At 46.2% G+C, this 17695-nt stretch overlaps 6 annotated features.

Annotated features, from left to right (window-relative positions):
- Positions 5429-5967: an enhancer, noted in NCBI's record as "H3K4me1 hESC enhancer chr15:93723165-93723703 (GRCh37/hg19 assembly coordinates)". NCBI's record gives its function as "activates a minimal SCP1, AML or CMV promoter by ChIP-STARR-seq in primed H9 embryonic stem cells {active_cell/tissue: H9 hESC(primed)}" and the evidence as "EXISTENCE:reporter gene assay evidence [ECO:0000049][PMID:30033119]".
- Positions 5968-6505: an enhancer, noted in NCBI's record as "H3K4me1 hESC enhancer chr15:93723704-93724241 (GRCh37/hg19 assembly coordinates)". NCBI's record gives its function as "activates a minimal SCP1, AML or CMV promoter by ChIP-STARR-seq in primed H9 embryonic stem cells {active_cell/tissue: H9 hESC(primed)}" and the evidence as "EXISTENCE:reporter gene assay evidence [ECO:0000049][PMID:30033119]".
- Positions 8057-8624: an enhancer, noted in NCBI's record as "H3K4me1 hESC enhancer chr15:93725793-93726360 (GRCh37/hg19 assembly coordinates)". NCBI's record gives its function as "activates a minimal SCP1, AML or CMV promoter by ChIP-STARR-seq in primed H9 embryonic stem cells {active_cell/tissue: H9 hESC(primed)}" and the evidence as "EXISTENCE:reporter gene assay evidence [ECO:0000049][PMID:30033119]".
- Positions 8625-9191: an enhancer, noted in NCBI's record as "OCT4-NANOG-H3K4me1 hESC enhancer chr15:93726361-93726927 (GRCh37/hg19 assembly coordinates)". NCBI's record gives its function as "activates a minimal SCP1, AML or CMV promoter by ChIP-STARR-seq in naive H9 embryonic stem cells {active_cell/tissue: H9 hESC(naive)}" and the evidence as "EXISTENCE:reporter gene assay evidence [ECO:0000049][PMID:30033119]".
- Positions 14719-15250: an enhancer, noted in NCBI's record as "OCT4-NANOG-H3K27ac hESC enhancer chr15:93732455-93732986 (GRCh37/hg19 assembly coordinates)". NCBI's record gives its function as "activates a minimal SCP1, AML or CMV promoter by ChIP-STARR-seq in naive H9 embryonic stem cells {active_cell/tissue: H9 hESC(naive)}" and the evidence as "EXISTENCE:reporter gene assay evidence [ECO:0000049][PMID:30033119]".
- Positions 15251-15780: an enhancer, noted in NCBI's record as "OCT4-NANOG-H3K27ac hESC enhancer chr15:93732987-93733516 (GRCh37/hg19 assembly coordinates)". NCBI's record gives its function as "activates a minimal SCP1, AML or CMV promoter by ChIP-STARR-seq in naive H9 embryonic stem cells {active_cell/tissue: H9 hESC(naive)}" and the evidence as "EXISTENCE:reporter gene assay evidence [ECO:0000049][PMID:30033119]".

A 17695-nucleotide genomic window follows, 5' to 3' on the forward strand; every position in this document is an offset into this window, starting at 1 on the left:
CCACCAGCACCATCTTAATCTCCTCTTCCATAGTTCCCATCACCACATCCCTCTACCACCACCACTGCCACCATTACCACCTTCACTCTCATTACCACCTTCAGTGCCATCATCTTTGCCACCATCACCACACCACAACAGCCATCACCACCATTACCATTTACTGAACCCTTGTGACGTGGTAGACACCATGCTAGAGGTTTTTAAAGGGTTTAATCTTCATGATACTCCTACATAGTAGAAATTACTAGTCCTATTTTGCAGTGGAGGGAACTGAGGCTCAGAAAAGTTAAGAATTTGCTCAAGATGACATAGTAGAAAGCTGTAGAGCCAGGATTTCAACCAGGTTCATTTGCTCTTCCAGTAGACAAGGAGGAGTGGCTCAGAAAGCTGTGCTGTTGGACACAGGCATATGTTGTGGGCTTGTTTTATGTACGTCTGGGCCACATTGTTTGGGTCTGAGAGACTCTTGTGGGCTATGACCAGCACTGACAATCTGTTTTCCCTTATTTTTTCTGACTTTCTTTCACACATTCTAGATCATATGGCTTTTCTGGTCAGAACAAATGAAAATGTTTTATGTCCTCCCTTTTCTGAGCTTTGGATGTTACTGTTTGTACACAGTTCTGGAAGCAGATGGAGCCTGATAGAAATCCCAGATGATAACTCAGACTCAAAAGCTCCTTGCAAATGCCCACGTAGCATAAATACCCTTGAGCATATGAGAGACAGTGACAGAGACTGAAAGACAGACAGAGAGACAGGGACAGAGAGAGACAGAGACAGAGAGACAGAAAGAGAGACAGAGATAGACAGAAACAGAAATAGAGACAGAGACAAAGAGACAGAGATAGAGACAGAGACAGAAAGGCACAGAGGGATAAGAGAGATGGAGACAGAGATAGAAAGAGACAGAGAAAGAGATAGACAGAGACAGAAACAGAGACAGAGAGAGGGCTGCAGAAAACTCATCTTTGCCTGCAATGCCTGCTCCAGCCAGATATCAACACGGAGGGCTCCCCACCAACATTCTGATAGATTCTGAACTACAAGCTTCCAGAATATTAGCAGCTGAGCTCCTCCGCCCTGGGAGGAGATAGAGACAGAGAGAAAGATAGAGACACAGAGGGAGAGGCAGAGATACAGATGTGGAGAGAGAGAGACGGAGATGCAGAGAGAGAGAAATAGAGACACAGACAGAGAGATAGAGACAGATACAGAGAGAAATATATAGAGACAGAAACAGAGAGAGGCCAAGAGATAGAAACAGAGAGACAGAGAGAAAGAGGTAGAGACACAAAGAGAGACAGAGATATAGAGTTGAAGAGACAGAGGGAGACCAAGGGGCAGAGAGAGAGAGTGTGTGCCTGATGGCGCTGTTGGTCCTTTGTATTTTGGGGTCTAGGGGTGCCAGGAGTACCTTGGGCCTTCCGTGACCTTTGCTTCACATCTCCTCAGGTATGAGTGAGTTGAGCAGGGGGCTGCCTTTGCCCTGCGAGAACCGTGCTGAGCACTTTCTAATGCCTGGCCTCTTGGTAATGGCACATCTGCCTCCTGACAGAATCCAGAAGCCCGAGTCAGGTGCCTCCAAAAGGGTCCCAGTTCATTGCTGGGTGCACAGTGTGAGCTTCTGCTCCATCTAGGCATGGGAAGAAAGCCTCCCCTGAAGCTGTTACTCCAAAAGTCAATTCCCCTTGCATTTAAATGGAAGCTCAGAGCACTGTGCTAAAATCACCAGCAGTTAAATTGAATTGGAGCTTGATTAGGGTTCTGACCTACAATAAATCACCTGGGAAACAGCTTTTTGGTGGCATATTTGGCCCGAGGGGGAGGAGCTCAGCTGCTAATATTCTGGAAGCTTGTAGCTCAGAATCTATCAGAATGTTGGTGTGGAGCCCACTGTGTTAATATCCGGCTGGAGTAGGCATTGCGGGCAAAGATGAGTTTTCTGCAGCCCTCCTGTGAATTTCCTGACAGAACTTCTCTCTCACCTCCTGTTTGCCTCATCTTAGCTTTCATCTCTTCTTCTTCACTCTGCCTAAGCCCTGGGAGGTAGCCCAGCGCCATCTGAGAAGGTGGTGGGGCACGCAAAGGGCATAGCCTGCGTCTTTTATTTCGCCTCCACCTCCATGACTACGGCCAAGTCATTCACTTCTTGGATCCTCATTTACAAATTGAAAATACTGGTAGCCTTCCTGTCTGTCTTGCAGGGGTGTTTGAAGGACAGGAAGAAATAACAGTAATAAAAGTACTTCTCAGAGAATAAAGTGCTCTTTGAAGGCCAAGGGTTAATAGTTCTTTTGTTATTATTTGTGGTTGTTTCTCAGAAGTGGAGATCACCATCAGCAGCCTGTGGAAAGGAGGCAAGTGGCTCTTCCATATGACCTTGACCTCTATGACCTTGGCCAACTTATTTAAAGCCTGAATATCTTCATCAATAAAACTGGGAAATAGTGAGACCGTTTCCTTGGGCTGATGACTGTATAATGGTAGGCTCAAAGTCAGGATACAAAGCAGGATGTACAATAAGATGTCATCAACCAGTGAGCCAAAGTCAGAGGTGGAGGATGGAAAAAGACTCCATCATTCACAGTGTGGGGTTGATCATAAGATTTTCAAAATACGTTTGACTTTGTATATGTTTTCTAGATTTTCCATAATGCCAACCTACATTTTCCATAAAGCATCACCTTTGACATTGTGAACCCCAAATATCTGAGACAGGTCTCAGTCAATTTAGGAAGTTTATTTTGCCAACATTAAGGACGCATGCCTATGACACAACCTCAGGAGGTCCTGATGACATTTGCCCACGGTGGTCAGGGCACAGCTTGGTTTTATACATGTATTAGACCGTTTTCATGCTGCCGATAAAGACATACCCGAATCTGGGCAATTTATAAAGAAAAAGAGGTTTAAAGGACTCACACAGTTCCACATGGCTGGGGAGGCCTCATAATCATGGAAGGTGAAAGGCATGTCATACATGGTGTCAGGCAAAGAGGGAAATGAGAGCCAAGCCAAAAAGGAAACCCCTTCTAAAACCATCAGATCTCGTGAGACTTATTCACTACCACGAGAACAGTATGGGGGAAACCGGCCCCATGATTCAATCATCTCCCACTGGGTCCCTCCCACAACACTTGAGAACTGTGGGAGCTACAATTCAAGATGAGATTTGGGTGGGGACACAACCAAACCATATGATATACATTTTAGGGAGACATGAGACATCAATCAATATGTGTAAGATGTACATCGGTTCTGTCCAGAAAGGCGGGACAACTCTAGGCAGGGAGGGGCTTCCAGGCCATAGGTAGGTGAGAGACAAATGGTTGCATTCTTTTTTTTTTTTTTTGAGATGGAGTCTCGCTCTGTCGCCCAGGCTGGAGTGCGGTGGTGCAATCTCGGCTTACTGCAAGCTCCGCCTCCTGGGTTCACGCCATTCTCCTGCCTCAGCCTCCCAAGTAGCTGGGACTACAGGCACCCGCCACCACGCCTGGCTAATTTTTTTGTATTTTTTTGGTACAGACGGGGTTTCACCGTTTTAGCCAGGATGGTCTTGATCTCCTGACCTCATGATCCGCCCACCTTGGCCTCCCAAAGTGCTGGGATTACAAGCATGAGCCACGGAGCCCAGTGAAACTCTTTTGAGTTTCTGATGAGCCTTTCCAAAGGAGGCAATCAGATATGCATTTATCTCGGCGAGCAGAGGGATGACTTTGAGTTCTGTCTGTCATTTGTCCAGAAGGAAATTCCTTGTGAGGGAGGTATGTAGCTTTTGAATCTTAGTAGCCATCTTTTTTTTTTAGCAATAGAATGGGAGGCAGGTTTGCCCTAAGCAGTTCCCAGCTTGACTTTATCCTTTGGCTTAGTGATTTTGGGGTCCCAATATTTATTTTCCTTTCACAATGTTTAGAGGATTTAATGAAAAATCAAACTTGTGTCTGTAGCATCTTTCCCAGTCACCAGCCCCTCCCGGAGCCAGCTTGGCGCAACAGGAGTGGACAGGGACAGCCTCTGGGCCGTATTGCCCTGTAGTCTATGGAGCCGCCCTGCTGGAGGGGCTGGGCTGGGCAGCCTCTGCTGGCTGGGGATGGTTTGGGAGTTTTACTCCAAGGCCTGCCACAGAAGGGCAGCTGTCATCCTCTCCCGTGGCTGGAGACATTTAGGCTGCAGCCCTTGGAAGGCTGTGAAATGGACACGACCCTGTGCTGAGTTTCCACCCTGCACAAACATCTTTGGAAGCAGCGCTCGTTTAATTTTCCATGAGTCCTGAGAAGAAGATGTTGCCATCAGCCCTTTGATTTTGCAGATGGCGATCCTGAGACTCAGAGAGGTTAAGCAACTTTCCTATGTCACACAGCTGGTTAGGAACTGAGCTGGGATTTAAACCCAAAGGTCTTCAAAGGTGGGACCCTTTGTGCCAGCAGGAACCTGTTAGGGGAACACTGTGGGAGAGACAGTAAGTAGATTGCACTGGGTGGGGGGCGTTGGGGAAGGAGGGAGTTGAGGGGGAAGGGAGGGAGTATGTGCAGCGGGGAATAGTTATGCAGCCCCCACCTTGATCATATAACAGCAAGAAAGTGTCCCAAGACCCAAGAAGGAAGTTAGCCTAGATCTTATTTTTCAACACAATCTAACAGTGACTTTGTTAAGAAACAGAAATTCAGGGCCTAAGAGGTTGTTGGAACAATGCCAGGTTTCGCTTCCTTTCCCGGGCAGCTCTCCTGCGACGACCTTTGACTTGGGAGGGGCAGGTCGTCCATGAGCACGAGTGACCGGGTCCCTGATGCTTTCCTCGTGGTTACAGCCTCGCCTGCAGGTTCGGGCACTGTGGGGTGGGGCGGGAACGTGGCTGGCACTATGAAGTATCCACCTTTCTGCGGGCTCTGCCGCCTCATCCCTCCAACAGCAAGCCAGGGCTGGTGGCTGTACTGTTCCCTCGTCCCTCACCTAGCATCCCCTTTTTCCAGAGGACGAAAGGTAGGGGAAGCTAAGAAATGATGGCACAGGATTTGAACTCAGGACTATCTGGGCTCACAGCTGATGACGATTCTATACCACCTTACTGTCCTAGGCAGGGCAGGAGCCCCAGACAGGATGGGTAGCCTTTCTGAAGTTAAAATAGTAAAAGGCAAAAAGAGAGCCCTTACCCGAGCATGCAGCTATAAAGGAGCACACAGTTCTCCTCTGGCCCCTCTCCGAGGATGGGTTCTCCGCTTCTGCGAGGCCAGACGCACCGCAGGCATCTGCCTTTGATTAGAACGGGCAGACAGGAAACATACCTGCGGTCCCGGGCCTCTCTCACACTCCAGAAATGCCATTCACAGACAGGGAAGAGGGAGAAAGGATGGGAGGAAGGGAGGAAGGGAAGGAGAACAATCAACAGCTACATGGGAGCGTGCTGGGAGGTAGGATCACCGCGGGAGACAGAAATGGGCCTCAGCCGCAGGTCAGGGTGTGGACACGGAGGCAGCCAGGCCTGATCTGCTGGGGGAACCACACTGGGCCGGGCGTGGAGAGGAGGTTTGCCGTGTGTGCAGCAGCTTGCAGGGAGCCAGCTGCCGAGAGCTGGGGCTGCTGCTTCTGAGCTGAAAGGGAAAGAAGGGTACATCTTTCAGAGCCACTCAGTCCCCCAATCATAGTGCCTGGCTGCGACCTCCCACTGGGCCCATCACAAGTCCTCATGGTTGGGGACGTCAGTGACCTGCAACAGGGTCAGGGAAGAACATCCTGGCCAGGAGTGAGCTAAGGAAGAGATGCACCACAGAGCCCTGGTAAATGCCTGGGAGTGAGAGCCTTACACTCACCATCTCTTTCCTCTCTGCCTGTTGTAGTTAAAAACCACGCTCTTGACTTGCTGATGCTTTGAGCTGCTTGTTGCGGGTGGAGGTGGCTTCCCACGGCTTCTTGCACAGTGTTGGCCCTGACCCACCGTCCCCCAGGCAGGGGGAGACTGCTGTGTTCAAGGGGAGTCCTGGGTGCATGCGGAACAGAATAGGGAGTCCCCACTGGGGCAGGCGCTGGCAGCTCTTCACCGTGTCAGCTCACTCAGCCCTCAGGTCGTCCTATCCTCAGGTGTGACCTGCAATGTACAGGTGCAGAAATGGAGAAGACCTGTGCTGAGTCCCAGAATGACACTGGGCCTGTGGAGGCTGCCAGGAGAGACACTGCCAGGTTCCCACGGCGGAGACACTGGCACTACAGCCCAGAGAGGAGGACACTTTATTAACTTGTCACATCGAGCAAAGGCACTGGTCTCTCCAGTCTCTTGCTGTGCCTTGAAAAGAGGAGAGAATGTGGAATCCGAGGCCTGGGCTGCAACTCTGGCTGCACCAGCTCCCCAGGCAAAGCGGTAACCTGAGATGGGCCACCTCCAAGCATCAGGAAGTGTGGGCAACCGTGGGGAAGAGAAAAATAACAATGCCTGCTGTCCTCACCTTCCAGGCTTGCTTTATGGGCAGAGGGGGTGACAAGTGTCATTCTTTCCTGGGGGCTGCAAACCATGATTCAGGGGTCATGTGCTGAACTGTGTCTCTGCAAAATACGCGCAGTCCTCACCCCTGGTCCCTCGGAATGTGACTGTATTTGAAGATAAGGTCTTCAAGGAGGCAATTAAGCCAGACTGGGGCCCTTAGGATGGGCCTGGTGTCCTTAGGAGAAAAGGAGAGGGCCCAGTGCAGTGGCTCACACCTATAATCCCAGCACTTTGGGAGGCCGAGGCAGGTGGATCACCTGAGGTCAGGAGTTCGAGACCAACCTGGCCAACATGGTGAAACCCTGTCTCTACTAAAAATACAAAAAAAAAAAAAAATTAGCTGGGCGTTATGGTGGGCGCCTATAATCCCAGCTACTTGGGAGGCTGAGGCTGGAGAATCGCTTGAACCCGGGAGGTGGAGGTTGCAGTGAGCTGAGATCATACCATTGCACTCCAGCCTGGGCAACAAGAGCGAAATTCCATCTCAAAAAAAAAAAAAAAAGAAAAGAAAAGAAAAGAAAAGGAGATGAGGATGCGGACACACACAGAGGGAAGACCACGTGAGGACACAGGGAGAAGACAGCCATCAACAAGCCAAAGAGAGTGGCCTCAGAGAAACCAACCCTGCCAACACCTTGTTCTTGGACTCCTAGCTGTCAAAATTATAAGCAAAATACATTTCTGTTGTTTAGGATCACAGACCAGTGCCTGATGCTGTGACTGCGTTGGGCTCCAGACACGGGCAGGAATTGAGAGAAGGGAGCAAAGGTATCCACTGGGGCAGTCAGGAAAGGCTTCGTGGAAGAGGCAGACTCAACTTTGGTTTTCTAATTTACAAAATGGGGATGACAACAATTCGGCTCTCAGAGCTGTCAGGAGGACAAAATGAGGGAATTCATATAAACCACTGCATACAGTACCTGGCTCCAGAGGATGCATTGGTGAATTTCAGCATAATTTCTACCATTATCATTATTGAAGGATGAGGAGATCTGGGGATGGGGAATGAAGTAGCATGGGAAAAGTCAGAAAATAGGGGAGTGGACAGTGAGGAACCCACTGTCCTAGGAAGGGCAGACTTCACATTGCCTGCCCCAGAGAGCGGAGAGAAAGGATGCGTTCGTTTATTGTGTGACATCAGGAGGGTAGTGTTGTTGCTATATTTTTTTTGTCACCTGAGAAGAACTTCTCCCCAAACCAGTTTTAAATACTCCTATCTGATCCATTTCCCTTGTGCCAGAGTCACTCATAAAAACTGTAAGATCTCAAGAAAGCAGTGAAAGATTCAGGCCAGGTCCTCCAATTAGCACAATTGTATGGGGGCAGATCTTCAGTGTCTCCATAGATCCTGTGTTGCAGGTGAAAGCCCTCATTTGGGATCCATCAGACCCATCAGTCTTTTTTTTTTTTTTTTTTTTTTTTTGAGACTGAGTCTCGCTCTGTTGCCCAGGCTGGAGTGCAGTGGTGCAGTCTCGGCTCACTGCAAGCTCCGCCTCCCGGGTTCACGCCATTCATCCTGCCTCAGCATCCCGAGTAACTGGGATTACAGGTGTGTGCCACCACGCCCGGCTAATTTTGTATTTTTAGTAGAGACAGGGTTTCACCATGTTGGCCAGGCTGGTTTCGAACTCCTGACCTCAACTGATCCACCCGCCTCAGCCTCCCAAACTGCTGGGATTACAGGCATGAGCCACCATGACCGGCCCCATCAGTCATTTTCTATGAGGGTCAGAGGCCATGCTTGTTGCAACCTTTTTTCTTTCTCTCTCTCACTCTTTTTTTTTTACTTGTTGCTTGACTGGCCCACTACCAATCTTCCTTCCTTCATTCCACAGTTATTGGTTAATGCTTTTCCTGCACTGGGCCTTTCATCTGTGCTGCGTACTGGGCAGGCAGCAGTGCACAAAGGACATAGCTCCTGTTTCCTGTGGCATTTGTCTTACTTCAGTGTGCAGAGGACTTTGTCTGCCTCCCGGCTACCTCCTCTGGCTGGGCTAATTCCTGTAGAAAGGGAAAGGGGAGCAGCAAGCCTGTCCTGGCCGCCCGTGCTCCCCAGGCTGCAGTGCTGCGTTGCTGAACCTGTGTTCTCTGAAGGTGAGGTTCGCCGTGGGCATCAGTGAGGGAGCCGCAAGAGGAGCTGTGAAAAACCTAACAGCAGGTCTGAGGTGGTTGCCACCAATAACACACAGGCTTTAATCCTGCTCTTATCTTAATAACCACGTTAACAAAAATTGCATTATGCACACTAATAATAGCCAGTGTGTAAAGAAAGGAGTGTAGCTTATGGTGAGGCCTCTTGCCAGGAACTGGCGGAAGGCTGAGAGCTTGCAGTCTGGAATGATTGTGATGCTGACATTGACTCTTGATCAGGGTCAGCAGACAGATCAAGTGAACCGTTACCCCCATTCCTGCACTTGTGGCAGGCAGCACTAATCAGCCATCACACTCATCCCTGTGGATCTCTTGATCTGTCTCAGGAAAGCCCCTACCTGCTGAAATTAGCATAGGAAAATCAAGCCTATTTAATGTCTCACCTGGATCCTAGCGGCTTTTATGCTGAACTAGGCCCAAGGTTTCGGAGCCCAGTTTCTTGAGAGATAGTCCTGGAGCTACTTTAATCAGACCCATTAGAGCCTGGGCAGCTGGTTTAAAATGCAGACTCCTGTGCTCTTCCCTAGAGCTAGGGAATCAGAATCTTTGGGGAATGTCAAAGACAACACTCAGGTGATTTCTTTGCAAATGTTGTAACCACTGCTTTAGGGAAGGCAATTCATACCAGGTGTTTTCTTTTGGGCCTGTGTGCTGGAGGGAGGACGAGGGTCAGAAGAACGACATCTTGAGTCCCTCTGTGCAGAGTTAATACTGAAAAAGACAATTGTTTTCAGGCAAAAGGTCCGTTTTGTGCAGCCTCATTGTCTGTTTTTGGGTGTAAGGGGCAGGATCGTGTAGGAGTCAAGATCATAGGCTCTGACAGCCTTCTGCCCAGGTTCGAATCCCAACCCCGCCATTCACTAGCTGTGATACCTTGGGAGGTTTCCTTGGTCCTTTCTGCCTTGGTCTTACCAGCTGTGACAATAAAAAATGTCTCTCGGCTGGGCACGGTGGCTCACGCCTTTAATCTGAGCACTTTGGGAGGTCAAGGCGGGCGGATCACAAGGTCAAGAGATTGAGACCATCCTGGCCAACATGGTGAAACCCCGTCTCTAAAAATACAAAAATTAGCTGGGTGTGGTGACACGTGCTTGTAGTCCCAGCTACTCGGGAGGCTGAGGCAGGAGAATCACTTGAACCTGGGAGGCGGAGGTTGCGGTGAGCCGAGATCGCGACTCTGCACTCCAGCCTGGTGACAGAGTGAGACTCCGTCTCAAAAAAAAAAAAAAAAGTCTCTAAATATGGTCAAGTGTGTCCAGGGGGAGAATTAAGAGTCAAGACTCCAATGAAGAGTCACTGAAGAAGTTTATAGCAGATCGAGTGCTCAATGGATCTCCATTTTGCCTAAGAATTTTTTTAGCAGTCATTTTGGCCAGAAATAAGGAAAAATGAATCGACCGTGTAAGCTATTAACTTTGGCATGTATTGGGTTCCTGAAAGTTAGAGAATAGATAATACAGCCTGTAAAGGCCTTTCCTTCTCAAAGATAACAGTAACACTGACAGAGCTGTTGGGTCAGGCTGGGTACTGTTCTGTGTGCTTAATATACAGTCATTAACAATTTAATCCTCACAGTAGTTTATGAGGTGGATACTGTGATTATTCCCATTGTACAGATGAGGAGACTAAGGCAGAAGAGACTAAGAACAACTCCCGAGGTTTTACAGCTAGTGAGTGGAAAGGTGGAGATTCTAATCTGGGCAGAAGGCGGTTGGAACCTGTGCTCTTAACCCCTACCTGCTCCTGCTCCTTATACCCACAGCAAAGAATACCTGACCACAAATGTCATTTGCACCACAGTAGAGAAACTGTGCTAGCTCAATAGGAGGCAGTCTTTTTTTTTTTTTTGAAACAGGGTCTTGCTCTGTTGCCCAGGCTGGAGTGCAATGGCACGATCACAGCTCACTGCAGGCTTGATCTCCTGAGCTCAAGCAATCTTCCTACCTAAGCCTCCCGAGCTGGGACTACAGGCACGCACCACTATCCCCAACTCATTTTTATTATTTTTTTGTAGAGCCGGGGTCTCACTTTGTTACCTGGGCTGATCTGGAACTCCTGGATTCAAGTGATCCACTTGCCTTGGCCTCCCCAAGTGCTAGGATTACAGTCATGAGCCACCATGCCTGGCCAAGAGGCAGTCTTTACAGTAGAAAAAACATGGGTTTACAGCAGCATGAGCCAGGGGTTTGCTTTCTCACTCTTCACATGTCAGCTGTGTGGGCTGAACAAGTTACCAAACCCTTGTAGACATTGTGTTACCATCAGAAAGCATGGAGATTGTAAAAGGAAATTAAATTTCGGGACCCCAAACTCACCGTGGCAATGCTAATTGATAGCTTATCTTTACAGGTGCAGTCACCCCGGCCTGCCAGACACAAATGCATATTTTGTGTGTGTTATCTAATATAAAGTGCAGATTCCCCACATTTTTCCTTTGCCCCTTTTAAGTGAAAACTGTGTGCTTCTCAATATCCCGCCCTTTCCCCTTTAAATTTGGAGACCTCAGAATCATCTTCAGAGAAAGGCATTGACCTGTCTTCTGGGTACGTCCTTAACTTTGGCAAATAAATCTCCAAAAATGATTGAGACTTGTCTCGTCATTTTCTTTGATTGACAAGGTTAATAAGACCTACTTTGAAGGGTTACTGTAAGTTATTTGAGATAATGTATATAAAATGCCAAATACAATGCCCAGCACGTGGTTACTGCTTGAGAAATATTAATTCCTCATTCTTTTCTTCAATGGAAACTATTTTCACTCTTCTTTTCAGCCTTCTGTGTCAGCAGGAAGATTCTTTGTGTGTTTAACCTGGCATCTTTGGTCTCATTTTTCAATTCGTTACTCATCTTTGTGGGGTTCTGCTGAATTCTGTCCAATTTTCTCAAGTCCTTCTGTTGTGGAACTAGACTCAGAGTCTCCAGAGCCGAGGAATGGGAGAATTATTGCAAAATTCCTACACTAACACTCCTATTGTATATATACCTGTGCTTTCTGAATGACAACCTTATCCTGCTGACACAGTGTCATCTGGCCCACCCTTTGGGCCTTTCACCTACTTGAAAACTTTTTTTATGTTTTATTTCAATAGTTTTTAGTGCACCCATCACCTGAGCAGTATACACTGTACCCAGTGTGCAGTCTTTTATCCCTCACCCCCTTCCACCCTTCCCTCTGAGTCCCCAAAGTCCATTATATTATTCTTAAGCCTTTTCGTCCTCATAGCTTAGCTCCCACTTATAAGTGAGAACATACAATATTTGGTTTTCCGTTCCTGAGTTATTTCACTTAGAATAATGGTCTCCGGCTCCATCCAAGTTGCTGCAAAAGACATTATTTCATTCCTTTTTATGGCTGAGTAGTATCTAATGGTGTATATATACCACATTTTCTGTATTCACTTGTTGGTTGATGGCATGTAGGTTGGTTCCATATCTTTGCAGTCGTGAATTGTGCTGCTATAAATGTGTGTGCATGTGCTTTTTCATATAATGACTTCTTTTCCTTTGGGTAGATGCCCAGTAGTGGGATTGCTGGATCCAATGGTAGATCTACTTTTAGATCTTTAAGGAATCACTAAACTGTTTTCCACAGCGGTTGCACTAATTTACATTCCCACCAGCAGTGTAACGGTGTCCCCTTTTCACCACATCCAATCTGTTGTTTTTGACTTTTTAATTATGGCCATTCTTGCAGGAGTAAGGTGGTATCTCGTGGTTTTAATTTGCATTTCCCTGATGATTAGTGAAGTTGAGCATTTTTTCATGTTTTGTTGGCTGTTTGTATATTTTCTTTTGAGGAATGTCTATTCATGTCCTTTGCCGACTTTTTGATGGGATTATTTGCTTTTTTCTTGCTGATTTGTTTGAGTTCCTTCTACATTCTGGATTCTAGTCCTTTGTCGGATGCATAGTTTGTGGATGTTTTCTCCCATTCTGTGGGTTGTCTGTTTACTCTGCTGATTATTTCTTTTGCCGTGCAGAAGCTTTTTAGTTTAATTAGCTCCCATGTATTTTTTTGTTTTTGTTGCATTTATTTTTGGGGTGTTAGTCATGAATTCTTTGCCTAAGCCAATGTCCAGAAGAGTTTTTACGACGTTATCTTCTAGAATTTTTATGGTTTCATCACCTGCCTTCTTTACATTTATTCATTCCTTCTTGTTCTACAAGTTCTTTGTCTCCCAGTTTTCATAACAAAGAATTATCACTGAAAATTAGTAACAAGGTAGAAATTTTAAAAAAGAATTCCAGGGACAAATTATAAACAAATAAGCGCAAGAAAAGTTACAGTTAAAAATAAAACAAAAAGACCCAGGGAGGCTTTTGGTAAGAAAAGGAGGGAACTAAATGAAGATAAAATTATACAGTAAGCTGAAGGGAAATTTTGGGTGTTAGGAATCAGCCTTCACAGTGCTTTGGAGAACGGGTGCAATGCACCTTGGAGAACCGTGCATTTGAGAACCTTGGTCACATGGCTTGATAGGACCACCAGTTCACCTCTTTGGATTCATGGCTGGTCTGCCCCTTGGGGTCCACAGTGTGAAGCCCTGAGGCCTGGCTCCCTGGCCTGAAGCAGCAGGAGAGGGAAGTCATCAGAGCCTGGGCTCTGGAATCAGATGGACCTTGATTTAATCCTGACTTCGCCATTTATTGCATTGAATGACCAAGGGCAAACTATCTCCTTCTTCAAGACTCCCACTTTCAAGGGTGGAGTTGTAAAATTGGTGGTAATAATAATACCTCTCATAGGAGAGTTATAAAGTAATGCATATAAAACATTGAACACAGCACTGGATGCATTGTAAGCACTCAATACATTTTACTGTATTGATAATGAGGATGATAATGATGATAATGATGATAACATGATTGCCTACTTCTAAATGTCTGCTCTGACTGTCTTGTCTATTTATATGTATGAATATACATGACTGTATGCCCATGAAAAGCTAAAATACATATGCATGTACATGTACCCACATATGTGTATGTGTATATATGTGTGTATATACACATGTATGTATTATAGCTTTTCATGTACATGTAGTTGTGTCCTGCACACAGCTGGTTTGTGTGCATCTCGTCTCTTCCCAGCCTTCAGCTCAGTTACATCATATTGGTAGTTGGCCATGGTGGGAATATTCTATAGCATGGAAATTGGCAAACCTATACACATCAAGGGCTTTTCCCCCTCAGAGAGCCAATTTATCAGCATACCACTGTGTATATACCTTGCATCTCCAGTTAGATTCTGAATTCCTTTAGGACTCAGGATGTTCTGTTTTCACCCTTTGATCCCCACAGGGCTTTGCGTGTGTCTTTTGTGCAGTAGGCTTCAAAGGGTGGCATGAGTCAATAGTACGGAGGGTGAGTGGATAAAAGCAAGGGAACGGATATAGCACAAGTGCACTTAATAAAAGGGAAGGAAGAAGTTGTTTCAGAAAAACTGGTAGATGAGTAGCCAGGAATGGAGAGAAGGAGTGAGGAGAGGGAGTTCTTAGATGGGTAAAATGGTTTGGTGACAGAAAAGGACTTAGAAATATAAAGTCCAGAAAGAAAACGAAATTCAGAATAAGAGTCCATTTCCTATGATTTCAGACTGCTGCTGGTAGTGTATTTCTTGAGTTCCAGTCTTTTAGATGAGTGGCATTTGTTTCAGATGTTGAGATAATTAAAGAATTGTTTACAGGAGAAAAAATTGGACTCAATCTAGTGTTCAAGAATAGAGGGTTGGCAAAATAAGTAGGATACGTTCATTTTATAGAATACTTTTGGGTCAAAAAACATGATGGAAAATTCCAGTAAAGTACAGTGAGAATAATGACAAGAAGCATGGAAAGCTGGAAGAATGGTATAATAATGTGCAGAAGAAAAGGCAGGTTAAAAGTGGCAGCTATAATCTCACTTTTATATAAACACATGTGCGGAGAAAAATATCTGGAAGGGTATACATTAAAACACTAAAGGTAGTTGTTTCTGAATAGGGTGACTTTTTTTTTCCTCCACTATTTGCTTATGGACATTTTCTCTTTTTTTTTTCTATTTCAAATACATTTTTATTTATTTTTTATTTTTATTTTTCCCCCTAGAGATGGGTCTCTAGAGAAATGCATTGCCCAGGCTGGTCTTGAACTTCTGGGCTCAAGCCATACCCCCTTCCCTCAGCCTCCCAAAGTGCTGAGATTATAGGCATGAGCCACCGTACCTGGCCTAAAATACATTTTAATTAAAAAAATTAAAATGTGTTTTCCACATTAGTCTCTTTCTGTCTTTATCTCTGTCTGTCTTTGTCTCTATATATTGTCTTTACTGATAGCACTGAATTTTAAGATCACAGCTGCTTTAAGATTAACAAAGTGATTAAGACCTGTGGGCTAAGAAACGGTTTTCTTTGACTTGCAAATGTATCCAGATGAAAAGTCTTCTCAGTGTAACAAATCGCTGTAATAATCCTTGAACACTTGGCAAATGCCTTTGATTGAGAAAAGCCAGTTACATGAACTGGGGCTGACCTGAAGAATTACGGAGTCTGCATCTGGGGTGCGGGGCAGGTGTGCAGTGTCTAACAGCGACTCTGCAGGGCAGCTGGGGACACAGAGGCCTCCCAGAATGATAGGGCGGTTCCAAATGCACCAGCCTCCCAGAAACGTGGCCCTGGCGATCTAAAGACCTTCAGATCCCAGGACGGCCCTACCAGATTCAGTGTCTAATGAATGGCAGGTGTTAGGAGGCAGGCAGGGGTTTCCTGTGGCAAATCCTGATTCACAGCTGGAAGATGGATTTCTGCCCTCAGGAAAGCGGTTTAGTGGGAGGTGGTGAGAGTTAGCTGAAATTTCCAATAAAATGCAGTCAGGGCAGTGAGCTAGTGGGCACAGGAGAGCCTCAGTCAGTGGCTCAATTATCTTCTAGTAGAACAATGGAAGAATTGGCAATTTTCTTCATATTTCATTTTCCTGACATGCAGGATGGTGAAGTGGCGAAGAGCCTGACTCTGGAAATAGCGAGAAGGGGTTTAAGCTCTGGCTCTGTGTGCATCTCGGGTAGGTTACCTAAGTACTCTATATCTCAGTTTATCAGCCCGGGAAATGGACGTAGAGTCCCTGCCTCATGGAATTACTGTGATAATTAAATGAGGTATATCCGCGAGGCATTTAGAGCAGTACCTGGCGCTCGGGGAGGTGCTATGGAAATGCTCCGTGAATTGTGATTCCTCGGTTTTTGAACTTCTTTCTTCTCCCTCCTCTCCTTCCCCTTACCTTCCTCTGCTCCTTTTCCTCCTCCTCCTTCTACTCTTCTCTGCCCCTCTCACCCTCCCCACACACAGATTCCATGATCGATGAATTCCTGCATTCCTGCATTAATTTCTCTGAGAGTCTTTTCCTTTTGACACTGGTGCTGAGAGGGACAGGTTGCTTCTTCTCACACTGATTGACTAAGTGAATTTTTATTTTCCTGAGCACCTTCTATTTTATTTTATTTATTTATTTATTTTTGAGACGGAGTCTCGCTCTGTCGCCCAGGCTGGAGTGCAGTGGCCCAATCTCGGCTCACTGCAACCTCCGCCTCCCGGGTTCACGCCATTCTCCTGCCTCAGCCTCCGGAGTAGCTGGGACTACAGGTGCCCGTCACCACGCCTGGCTAATTTTTTTGTATTTTTAGTAGAGACGGGGTTTCACTGTGTTAGCCAGGATGGTCTCGATCTCCTGACCTCGTGGTCCGCCCGCCTCTGCCTCCCAAAGTGCTGGGATTACAGGCGTGAGCCACCGCGCCCGGCCTTTCCTGAGCACCTTCTCTGTGCTAGGCATGAGGCTGAGCAGGTTACCTACATTATTTCATTGTATTACATTATTATCCCAACCTCAGAAAGGTTCTGTGATCCACTGAAGGTCCAGCATCGATCTAGCTCCAGCCAGCTGCAGTGAGGATGAAAGCTGGCATTACACAGTTCTCCGAGGGACAGATTACCTTCTTGTACCTTGTGGATCAAAGCCAAGGACTTTTTCCCAGAGCCCCCCAGCAATGGCATAGCTGTGAGCATCCTGTCAAGCCAATGTTAATTAGCTACAGCTCTTAAGAATTCACTAGCACATAAAGTCAAGAAAAAGTCCTTCTACATCAGAAAAGCATCTTTTGTTATATTTTTTAAATTGTGGTTAAAACCATATATCATAAATGTTACCATCTTAACATTTCTTAACCATTTTTAAGTATACAGTTCAGTAGCGTTTAGTATATCTGCACTGCTATCAAAGAGATCTCCAGAACTATCTCATCTTGTAGAACTCAAATTCTGTACCTGGCCGAGCGCGGTGGCTCACGCCTGTAATCCCAGCACTTTGTGAGGCTGAGGCGGGTGGATCACTTGAGGTCAGGAGGTTGAGACCAGCCTGGCCAACATGGTGAAACCCCGTCTCTACTAAAAATACACAAGTTAGCCGAGTGTAGTGGTGGGTGCCTGTAATCCCAGCTACTCAGGAGACTGAAGCAGAAGAATTGCTTGAACCCGGGAGGCGGCGGTCACAGTGAGTTGAGATCACGCCACTGCACTCCAGCGGTCTTAAAAAAAAAAAAAATCTGTACCCATTGGACAACAGCTCCTTTTTGTCCTCTCTCCCCCAGCCACCATTCGACTTTCTCTGTCTAGGAATCTGACTGCTTTAGAGGCTTTATATAGGTGGAATCATATAGAATTTGTCCTTTTGTGACGAACTTATTAACTTACCATAATGTCCTCAGTTCATCCAGGTTGTAGCATATAATGAGATTTTCTTCCTTTTTAAGGAAGTATTCCATTGTGTGTAATACCACATTTTGTTTATGTATTTATACATTGACAGATGTTTTGGTTGCTTCCATCTCTTGTCTCTTGTGAACAGTGCCGCTATGAACATGGGTATACAAATATCCCTTTGAGACCCTGCTTTCAATTCCTTTGGGTATATACCCAGGAGTGGGATTGCTGGATCATATGGTAGTTCTATTTTTAATTTTTTGAGGAACCTCTGTACTGTCCACAGCAGCTGCACTATTTTATAATCCCACCAACGGTACACAAGAGTCCCAACT

Source organism: Homo sapiens, chromosome 15 (genome assembly GCF_000001405.40).
Source record: "Homo sapiens chromosome 15, GRCh38.p14 Primary Assembly".
NCBI classification, from domain to species: domain Eukaryota; kingdom Metazoa; phylum Chordata; class Mammalia; order Primates; family Hominidae; genus Homo; species Homo sapiens.